The sequence below is a fragment of the Homo sapiens genome, chromosome 7 (genome assembly GCF_000001405.40).
Source record: "Homo sapiens chromosome 7, GRCh38.p14 Primary Assembly".
In the NCBI taxonomy this organism is placed as follows: Eukaryota; Metazoa; Chordata; class Mammalia; order Primates; family Hominidae; genus Homo; species Homo sapiens.
Window position 1 is genome coordinate 123,963,333 of NC_000007.14, and position 11,531 is coordinate 123,974,863.

Consider the following 11,531-nt stretch of genomic DNA (forward strand, 5'->3'; position numbering starts at 1 on the left):
TTATGGGTATCTTTTATTTTTTTTCAGAGTAAACTTTGTTTTCTCATTTATACTTAAATTCGATTTTAGTAGACTGTTGCCATTTCTAAAATTTAAGATATGGCTTTTTAGATACCAATAGATTATAGTGTGAAAAGAGGAACCAAAGATTAGCATTAAAAAGGATATTTTTTATCTCTTTATATTTTATATGTGGCATTTGTCTATGATAATCATCATTATATTTTTAAAGTACATCAGTTACAAGGAATTACAAATTCATCTATCTGCTGACTCTCATTGCTTTTATAAGGGCATAAGGCTATACAAAGTTTTGGCAAATTACTTTTTTATAAGAAATATCATTTAAATAAAATTCAAAAGTTCATGAGCCCAATTCAAAAGTTTTTCATGGGAAGCCCAATTCTTGTAGCAGGATATAGGGAGAAGAGCAAGCTAATCCCAGTTTAGCAATTTGTAAGCTGCTGACTTTGGGAAACTTACTTAACCTCTCTGAGTTTATTTCCTCAAATAGAAGGTCAATTGTTTAGAAGACTAGAGAAAGTAAACAAAAGTTAGCTAGTACAGTGCTTGTTATAAGAATGGTAGGTGCTCAATACATAGCAATGATTATTTATTTGGAGAATGTATCTATTTTCCAAAATTTTTCCTCTATTAAATGATTTAAGGTTTATATTTGAAATATAAAATTGACTTAATATTTTTATTTTATAAGACAGTATATTAAGTAAAATGTATTTATAACATCTTTAATTTGACTGAAAACTACAAATTATCTAATTTAAGCACTATGTGCCATTTTTTAAAAATACTATATTAGATGTACATGTCAATTATCAGAAAAATATTGGGACCTCCATGAAGGTCTTTATATTATCACTGATGCATTACATCTGTAATTAGACTCTATAAATGTTTAAAACATTATGCTAATATAACTTTGCTCATTTATTTGGTTTCTAATCATTTCAATACAGGATATATTTAATAATAAACCTCAAAGTAGTAGGTGGAATACATAATTTTTATTATGTATCACATATCACTTCTTTTATTCTAATTTGCTAATCCTAGATAATAGATATAAGGAAAAGGATAAATATACAATTATGTAATTTTTAGACTATATCATTATAAATAATTTTATTTTTCTCTGCTAGGTTTTAAATTTTTGACTTTTTAAAAATTTTTAGTTTTTAAGAGACAAGGTATCTTGCCATTTGACTCTGTTGCTTAGGCTGGGATGCACTAGCATGGTGATAGCTCATTGTAACCTTAAACTCCTGAGTTCAACTGATCCTCCCACCTCAGCCTCCTTAGTAGCTGAAAGTGCAGGTGTGACCACAAGTGTGACCCACCACATGCGGCACTACTAGGTTTTAATTAAAGACTGGAGGTAAAGACATTTCTGGGTTTAATATACTGTGCTTATCACTTTGTAAAAGCAGGAAAAACTGTTAAAACTGTAATATGTATTATACAAATGTTTTTAAGGGCTGAGCAGCCAAAAATAAATATATAATTTTTGTATCCTGTAGGAAACCTTAATCCTTGAATAGTTAGAGTTGACTTTAGTGACAAATACTTTTAGTGATGTTCTGTTTCCACATGATGCTGACAATTAGTCTGACTGAAATTGTTAATCACCACTTCACAATTCTTCATAAATAAGAAGAGCTTCTGTTTATTATACAACAATCATATGCTTTACATACAACTTCTGATTTAATTATTTTTTTTCCAGTTGAAATAACTACACCTTAGATAAGTGACTTGCCCTGGGTCAGACAGCTAATAAGTCCTAGAGGCTGAAAGAAGATCGGAGTGGGTGGCTTTGACTCCCAAGCCTGTGTATTCCACCATTATACAATACTGCTCCTGCAAGGATGTGAAGTCAAGTAACATTATAACACAAGGGAACTAGTTCCTATTCCTTTTCACTCCAGGCTTCAGAATAGCTTCTGACCATGGGTATCCATCCATCATGAAGAATTTTTCTTTTGTTGCAATCGCTTTTGGCATTTTCGTCATGATATCTTTGCCCTTGCCTATGCCCTGAATGGTATTGTCTAGATTTTCTTCTAGGGTTTTTATAGTTTTGGGTTTTACATGTAAGTCTTTAATTCATCTTAAGTTAATTTTTGTATAAAGTATAAGGAAGGGGGTCCAGTTTCAATTTTCTGCATATGGCTACCCAGTTCTCCCAGTACCATTTATGAAATAGGGAATCCTTTCCCCATTGCTAATTTTTGTCAGGTTTGTTGAAGATCAGATGGCTGCAGATGCGTGGTCTTATTTCTGAGTTCTCTATTCCGTTCCATTGATCTATGTGTTTATTTTGTACCAGTGCAATGCTATTTTGGTTACTGTAGCCTTGTTGTATAGTTTGAAATCAGATAGGGTATTGCCTCCAGCTTCGCTCTTTTTGTTTAGGATTGTCTTGCCTGTTTGGGCTCTTTTTCCATTCCTTGTGAATTTTAAAATAGTTTTTTCTAATTCTGTGACAAATGTCAATGATAGTTTAATGGGAATAACATTGCATCTATAAATTACTTTGGGCGATATGGCCATTTTAACAATATTGACAAGTGCGATCTAATTAAACTAAAGAGCTTCTGAACAGCAAAAGAAACTATCATCAAAGGAACAACCTAGCAGAATGGGAGAAAAGTTTTGTAATCTGACCATCTGACAAAGATCTAATATCTGTAGTCTACAAGGAACTTACACAAATACACAAGAAAAAAACAAACAACCCCATTAAGAAGTGGGCAAAGGATATGAACAGATATTTCTTGAAAGAAGACATTCATGTGGCCAACAAACAAATGAAAAAAAGCTCAACATCACTGATCATTAGAGAAACGAAAATCAAAACCACAATGAGATACCAGCTCACACCAGTCAGAATGGCAATTATTAAAAAGTCAAGAAACAACAGATGCTGGTGAGGTTGCAGAGAAAAAGGAACATGTTTACACTGTTGGGGAGTGTGCAAATTAGTTCAACCACTGCGAAAGACAATGTGGCTATTCCTCAAAGATCTAGAAACAGAAATAATATTTGACCCAGCAATCCCATTACTGGGTATATATCCAAAGGAATATAAATCATTCTATTATAAAGACACATGCACATGTACGTTCATTGCAGCCTTATTCACAATAGCAAAGACGTAATCAACCTAAATGCCTATCAATGATAGACTAGATAAAGAAAATGTGGTACATATACACCATGGAATACTATGAAGCTATAAAAAAGAATGAGATTATGTCCTTTGCAGGGACATGGATGGAGCTGGAAGCTGTTATCCTCAGCAAACTAACACAGTAACAGAAAACCAAACACCACATGTTCTTCTTACAAATGGGAGCTGAACAATGAGAACACATGGACACACTGGGAAAAACAACACACACTGGGCCTGTATAGGGGGAGAGCATTAAGAAGAATAGCTAATGGATGCTGGACTTAATACCCAGGTGATGGATTGATCTGTGCAGCAAACAACCATGGCACACATCTACCTATGTAACAAAACTGCACATCCTGCACATATACCCTGGAACTGGAAGGTTGAAGCAAAAAAAATACAATTTTTTTCTGAGTGCTATATCGTAGGGAATAGGTTATCAAGGGCCGTCTGTTAATTATTTATATACTTTCAATATGGCTTTTATGGATTAAAGGAGACACTGGCAATTGAGAAAAGAGGAAGCTTAGGTTATTAGAAGTTTGCATCACTTTAGAATTTCCTGGGCCTCGTTTATAACATACAATAATGGCAGCAGGGGGCAGTAAGATAATGGCATCAAGTCCCCTGTGCTTCTTCAACAGTAACATTTCTGTGTCCTTGAAGCCTTTTTGTTTCAGCAAACAGAAATAATAGCTAGTCACAGTGCTAGTCACAGTACGTATCCTGAAGGAAATCAGTCAGCTTATATTTCAGATAAATCTGGTATTACAATGCTAAAATCACTATATGCATAATGTTGCTGTTTTGTGATTGTCTGCAAGTTCTTCTGTGTCCTTGAAAGATAATTTTAAAAATGTACTTATAAAACTGATTTAAACTTTTTTTCTACAAGTAAATTAATTTTGTGGTTATTTTGTCAGTGAGGGAAATGGTAGGGTAGGAAATTAAGTGATTAGATATTCCCTGTGATTGTTTTATATATTCTTAGTAGGTATGCTGATAATTTTAAAAAGTAGACTCCAATATAGTATTTGTGAAACAGCATGGTGTATGTGCGTGTGTGTGTGCATGTGTGCACATGTGTGGGTGTATGCATGTGTGTGTGAGAGAGATGGGGAGAGTGTGAGAGCCTCTGGAGACTGCTAAAATGCAAGAAGGAAGGGGGATGTGGTGGGAGATGGGATTTGGGGCTGGAAAGGTAGGTGTCAGATATGAAGTGTCTTCTGGGTGATGTTAGTGAAACAGCAGTTAATCCTTTAGCCTGGATTGAAATGGTCAGATTTGTATTTTAAATCTGCAGAGAAAGTACATTGTGGAGAAATTGGGTCTTTGAGTCTGGAGGCAGGAAAACTAGTTAGAAGGCTATTGCCATTATCTAGGCCAGGGAGGATAAAGTCTTGAATTAGGAAAGTATTAGGGATAGAGAGAAAAGGATAGAATTAGAAATCAATACTTGGATGATTGGATGTGGGAGGGTCAAGGGAAAGCAAGGAACCTAATTTTTTGCAGGGAAGATAAGCCCCAAAATTGGGGCTTAGCCTAGGAAGGTTCTTGGCTTTGCTCAGGAAAGAATTCAAGAGTGACCCAGAGGCAGAAGAAAATAGCTTTACTGAGGTGGCAGTGTTAGAGCTTCATGACTGCTGCTGCAGAGCAGGGCTTGAGAGTAGCTGCTGAGGGGCAGTTCTGCAGTCATATATACACCCACTTATAATTATACGCAAACTGAGAGCAGGTTATTCAGAAATTTCTAGAAAAGGGGTGGTAACGTCTGAGCTATTGGCATGGAAAGAGAAGGCAACTTCCAGGTGTTGCCATGGCAATTGAAAACTGTCATGACGCTGGCAGGCGTGTCTTATGGAGAATTGCTTTTGGTGCCTCTTTCATGTTTCAGCCAATCTTCAGTCTGGTCTGGAGTAAAGTCTTGCCTCCTAACCTCAATCTGACACTAAGTTCCTTGTTAGGACAATGTCATCGAGTCTTGAGAAAGGAGCACAGGTGGAGAAGCAGGTTTGGGGGATTAGGTTTTGAGCATGTTGTATTTGAGGTGCCTGTAGGGTATCTTGACAATTTTTTTTTTCAAAGCCATGTTATTTCAAAGCTCAAGAAAAAGATAAGGGCAGTGTCTTTAACAATGGATAATAATAGAGAGAGATAGTATGTCTAATAGTTTGAAAATATGGTTTCTAGAGCCAGACTACCTGAGTTTGACTTCTAGGCCCATCATTCATTGGCTGTGTAAGCTTGAGCAGGTTACATAACTTGTCCGTGCCTTTGTTTCCTCATCTGTGTGAGAATGAAATGAATTCATATGTGTAAGCTCTTTGATCAGTACTTGGTACATAGTAAGCACCATATGCTAACATTGTTGTTATTTTTATTTCAGCTCATATTTTTTGATTACTTGCTCTGGGCCAGGCCTGTGTTAAGAAATTATAGGCATTTTCTCATTTAATCTCCATAATACCCTGTGATGGTGACACTGTTATTATCTGAAGAAACTGAGACCTTACTCTGACCAACTTTCCCAAAGTAAACCACTAGAAAACAAAGGCTAGGGTCAAGATGCAAACCAAGGTTGGAGTGCCCATTTTTAAAATGGGATTATTTGGTTTTTTACTGTTGAGTTGTTTGAGTTCCTTATATATTCTGGATATTAGTCCCTAGCCAGATGAACTGTTTACAAATATTTTCTCTCACTCAGCAGGTTATCTCTTCACTCTGTTGGTTGTTGACTTTGCTGTACAGAAGACTTTCATTTAACGTAGTCCCATTTGTCTATTTTTGGTTTTGTTGCTTGTGTTTTTGAGGTCTTAGCCATAAATTCTGTACCCAGGCCAATGTAGTGAAGCATTTCCCCTATGTTTTATGCTAGTATTTTTATAGTTTGGGGTCTTATGTTTGAGTCTTTAATATATCTTGAGTTGATTTTTGTATATGTTGAGAGATAGGGGTACATTCTCGTTCTTCTGCATATGGGTATCCAGTTCTCCCAGCACCATTTATTGAAAAGGGTGTCTTTTCCCCAATATATGTTCTTGGCACCTTTGTCAAAAATCAGTTGGCCATAGAAACATGGATTTATTTCTGGGTTCTCTGTCCTGTTTTGTTGGTCTATGTGTCTGTTTTTATACCAATACCATGCTCTCTCTTTTGGTTACTATAACCTTGTAGTGTATTTTGAAGTCAGGTAGTGTGATGCCTCCAGCTTTGTTCCTTTTGCTCAGGATTGTTTTGGCTATTTGGGCTCTTTTTTTTTTTTGACTCACCCAGATTTTAAGATTTTTTCTTCTACTTATGTGAAAAATGACATTGGTATTTTGATAGGGATTGCATCAAATCTGTAGATTGTTTTGGATAGTATATCTAATAGCTTTGATGTATGGTGAAGGCACTGAAAACTTGGAACCTCAGAGCTAGCTCTGTATTTTAAGAGAGGTTTCTCTTTTTCCTAGAGTGGTGGTCGTAGGAATTAATAAATTATATCTTCTTCTATGCCCCAGCTTAGTGTTTCCTTAAGTCCTTTAGTCCGGGTTCACTTTCTTTACATGGAGTCTCCTGGTATTTATTCTGTATATCTCCATTAGTTTGCTAGTGATGCTATAACAAAGTGCCACAGACTAGGTGGCTTAAACAACAGAAATTAATTTTCTTATGGTTTTCTTACAGTGGAGGCTGGAAGTCTGGGATCAAGGTATTAGCAGAATTGGTTTCTTCTGAGAGTCATGAGGGAAAAATGTGTTTCAGGCCTCTTCCCTTGGCTTACAGGTGACTATCTTCTCCTTGTGTCTTCCATATGTTTCTGTCTGTGACCTTGTTTCTTCCCCTTATAAGGACACCAGTCATGTTGGATTGGAGAATACTCTAAAGACCTCATTTTCACTTAATTACCTCTTAAAGATCCTGTCTTCAAATAAGGTCACATTCTAAGATACTAGAGTTTAAGGCTGGGTGCAGTGGCTAATGCTTGTTATCCCAGAGTTTGGGAGGACAAGACAGGAGGATTGCTCAAGACCAGGAGTTTAAGGCCAGCCTGGACAACACAGTGAGATCCCATCTCTACAAATAATAATAATAATAATTATTATTATTATTATAGTAAGGCACTAGGGTTTAAGAACTTCAACATATGAATTTTGAAAGAACACAGTTCAGTCCATAACAAAATCAGTACCCTTAGAATGTTTATTTTAATTAATAAAGACTTTAACTTAGATGAATCCAGTATATGAATGCATGCATTACAAGTAAAGAAACATATTCTATTCCATAATTTTGTGGTAGCAAACAAAGGAAATACATTTTTGTTCTACGTCCTCCCAGTCTGGTATTCCTTTTCCAATTCATAAGATATTAAATAAAGAGGTTTTCTTCCTTCACTTTTTAAGGAATACAGTTTTGAACTCAGTTTTAAAATTAAAATCCATATATGTTTCTGTTTACTCAGCTAACTCTGTCTCATGATCAATATCCTTTAGGAAATGAAAAAACCATGACTATCATCACCAACATCCTTGGGTATTAAGTGCAGTCACTCTCCTAGATGCTGTGGGGAGAAGGCAAGTTACAAAGATAGACCTTCCCTCAAGATAATCAGATTTTCATGGTATTATCCTTAACCTTTTTGACATCATGGAGGCTTTGGGAATCTGATGAAGCCTATCAATTTTCTTCCAGAAGATATTTATATAAGATTATAAGAAAAATTATGTACACAGCTTATTTTATTGCATTGGATCAAAATGCCATTTATAAAGAATTATGCCTTTTCCATCAATTTTAGCATGGAAAAATAATTTCAGGCAATATGCTTAAAAATTGGGGGAAGACAAAAGAAATCCATATCGTGTAAATAAAAATAAATTTTGGTTTTGCTCAAAAATAAATTTCAATGGGAAAGCATCTCTTCCTTATCTTTTTTTTTCTTCTTTTTTTTGGAGATGGAGTTTCACTCTTGTTGACCAGGCTGGAGTGCAATGGCATGATCTTGGCTCACTGCAACCTCTGTCTCCTAGATTCAAGCAATTCTCCTGCCTTAGCACCCCAAGTAGCTGGGATTAGGGGCGTGCACCACCACGCCCAGCTAATTTTTGTATTTTTAGTAGATATGGGGCTTCACCATGTTGTCCAGGCTGGTCCTGAACTCCTGACCTTAAGTGATCCACCCGCCTTGGCCTCCCAAAGTGCTGGGATTACAGGTATGAGCCACCACACCCAGCCTCTTCCTTATTTTGAATGAAATCTGAAATTGGAGAATGGTTTTTGAGATGGCAGTATGTTCACTTTCCTGTAGACTTTCTGTTTTGATGGTAACATTCTAAAAAGCTGTGCTCACAACAGCATGTTGTAGCAAATAGAATCAGTTCAAGCTCACAGATGAGACAATGGGCTTGTGACAAGGGAACAACAAAATATTTCAAGACTATCATTGGCTTCACATCACTGAGTTTCATCTTCAGCAAGGGGAGGTTGTTGATGTCAGCAAAGTAAGGATTAAGAGCCCATGTTTCAATTTAAGGGTTGTCTGAGCAGAAGTACTTTAAAAAGAGTTATGCTGAGGGTTGTCTGCATATTTCTATATCACGGATTTGTTAAAAAAAAAGTTCATATTCTGCTTTCATTTTCTGTGAAAACATATTCAAAAGGCAATGATTCAAGGTCCTAGCATTAGTTGACACTTTGCTATAGACAAGCAGGACCATAGAAAGCAGTGAGTCAGATCACACTGCATAAAGACACTTCATCCTCTAAAACTGTGAAACTCCAAGATGTGCTACTCTGCACCACAGGTGTTTTGTTTGTTCACAAAGTGTCCAGTGAGGCTTATATGTAACAGAAACTTATCAACATTCCAAAGATATTGATGGATTTTAAATTTCAAAAAGGACTTGCTAAATAGGAAATCATCTTTGAAGGCATCAGCTGGCTGCATAAAGGATCTTCTAATTCCTTCATCACATGTCTCAAAATACTAATTTTAAAAAGCCAATCATCATGGAATTATTTTATTTTGTTTATTTTTTGAGATAGGGTCTCAATCTTTACCCAGGCTGGAGTGTAGTGGCATGATCTCGGCTCACTGCAACCTCTGCCTCCTGAGCTCAAAGGATCTTCCCACCTCAGCCTATGTGGAGGAGCTGAGACCACAAGCACGTGCCACCATACCCAGGTAACTCTTTGTATGTTTGGTAGAGATATGTTGCCCAGGCTCTTCTCGAACTCCTAACCTCAAGTGACCCTTGTGCCTCGGCCTCCCAAAGTATCGTGATTATAGAAGTGAGCCACCATGCTTGGCCGATAATTTCATTTTATATAAGCACTACTTTTACCTGCTTCTTCTGCTTCAAACCACACACTAAATTATTTCTGGGGTACATGGCTTTTACCAATTAACTTGTTTCTATTTTGACAGTATGCTGCTGCCTAGTGTCAAGTCAGATCAAATTTTGGCAACGTTTTGCCTTTTCAACTCCAGCCTTCCCTTCTTAAAACAGATCTATGCTAATATATTTTTGGAACAAAAAGTATGAGATGCCACTTCAGCATTTTTGGCTTAATACTCTTCTCATTAGCAAGAATGTTGTCATAAACAAAGCACATGGGCTTTGGTATTCTATCACACATAGTAGAAAGAAAAGCCAAAGGATATTTGATATTTTTTGTTAGGTTTTTTTTTTGCTTGTGACATTTTTATAACTTAAGCCAGTTCTAAAGTAAAGATAGATGCTCATTATCATCATCGCAGGACACAGATTCACTAATTCCTACCAGTGGGAAGCTGTTCTGACATATCATGACAACACTGATGAGTATACAGTGCTTGTCTACAGGAGCAGCCCATAATAGACATGAAAATAATGTGTACAGCAAGACGATTTGGGTAAATAAAATAAAAATCACTGCTGCATATCCGTGTGCATTTCTGTTTGTGAGTGTATGTGTGCATCAGGTACATATCCACATGCCTGATTCACAGACCTCCCTTTGATCCCCTTCCGCAGACATCAGGCTAAGATCCCTGCTGTAAAGGAGTGGACAGCCCCTTCAACTGAACCCCAAATTCAATGTGATGACAAAGATCCATGTGAGCCCAATGAAAGGAGAAACCTCCTTTCCTGGTGGCCTTAGAAAAGGCTTCACAAGGACCCAGTAGATAACACTTGAGCTGCAGCTTCAAGGTGGAGTAGAAGTTTATTAAGTCGAGAAGAGGAGAAAGGATATTCCAGGCAGAAACTAAAAAGGGAGATGTCATAATCTGGGAAATGTCGGGGAGTGTGGGTGACACTAAGAAACTAAAGAGTTACGTGGGAAATGTTTAGCTATCGAGACAGAGCTAACTGCTCAGGCTTGAATTTTAACTCTACTATTTATTTCTTTGATCCTGGACAAATTATTTAATCTCTTTTTGCCTCTGTTTTCTCATTTTTAATATGGGAGAGCAGTCGGGGTCAACATGTGCTAGGCATCTTTCGTTTACCCACTTAAGATTAGTTTAATCCCTCTTTGCCACGCTAAATACACGAATGCCCTCTAAATATGGATACAGCCACTCCCTCTTCGTTAAGGGTGAGTAACAATAACAATAATAGTAGTAATTCTAGTAGATGAAATATAAGGAACCTCTACTTTATGTCAAGTATTCTAATAAGTGCTTTGCATGCACCCTCACATTTGTTCCTCATAATACTTGAGATAGAAGCTGTCATTATGTCCATGATGAGGAAATTGAGGCTTAGATATGCTAAGTGACATAGCCACGATGACACAGATAGCAGTAAGAGAGTTGGGACTGAAATCAGATTTTTTCCTCTCTGCTGTGTTTTAAATTTCCCCTGGTGACTGATTTTCAATTGTATTCGGTGAACTTCATGCTCTGCCCCTCAGGTTGATGCCTCCCGTGGATGATCTGCTCACATCCCATTGGCTTCTTTCCATGAAGCTGCTTCTCAGATCATCCTGCCCTGCTGGCTGCACACACCTCAGTCTGAGTGCAAGTAATACATGCCTCCACTTGACCTGGAATTGAGGAAACAGCTTCAGCTAGAGCCCAGGGGTGTAGGACCCTGCTTGTCTGGGAGAAGGAATTTGAGGGACTAGTGAGTTATTGTCAGGCCTGAGTAAAATACTTTTGGCCATTAAAAGTAATGGCCAAAACCACAGTAACTTTTGCACCAACTCAGTAGTACCCCTGATACATCTGTGTGGCATGAAAGTGTATTGTAACTGCCTTGAGTTTCACTTGTATGATCAGGAAACGAAACACAGAGAGGAGAGAAAGAAAAAGAACACCAAATAATAAAACAAATTCTTTTAAAAGACGCTGATAGCGTCGGGG

At 37.1% G+C, this 11,531-nt stretch overlaps 1 protein-coding gene across 1 annotated transcript in view; it reads left to right on the top strand.

The window, feature by feature from the left end:
• Positions 1-8,082, top strand: part of SPAM1 (sperm adhesion molecule 1) — a 46,174-nt gene extending 38,092 nt beyond the window's left edge. Inside the window, exons 6-7 of the mRNA NM_003117.5 lie at positions 6,866-6,964; positions 7,675-8,082. Of these exons, the coding sequence (NP_003108.2) occupies positions 6,866-6,916 (51 nt within the window). The 3' untranslated portion in view covers positions 6,917-6,964; positions 7,675-8,082. The remainder of the gene's footprint in view (positions 1-6,865; positions 6,965-7,674) is intronic.
• Positions 8,083-11,531: the final 3,449 nt, after the last annotated feature.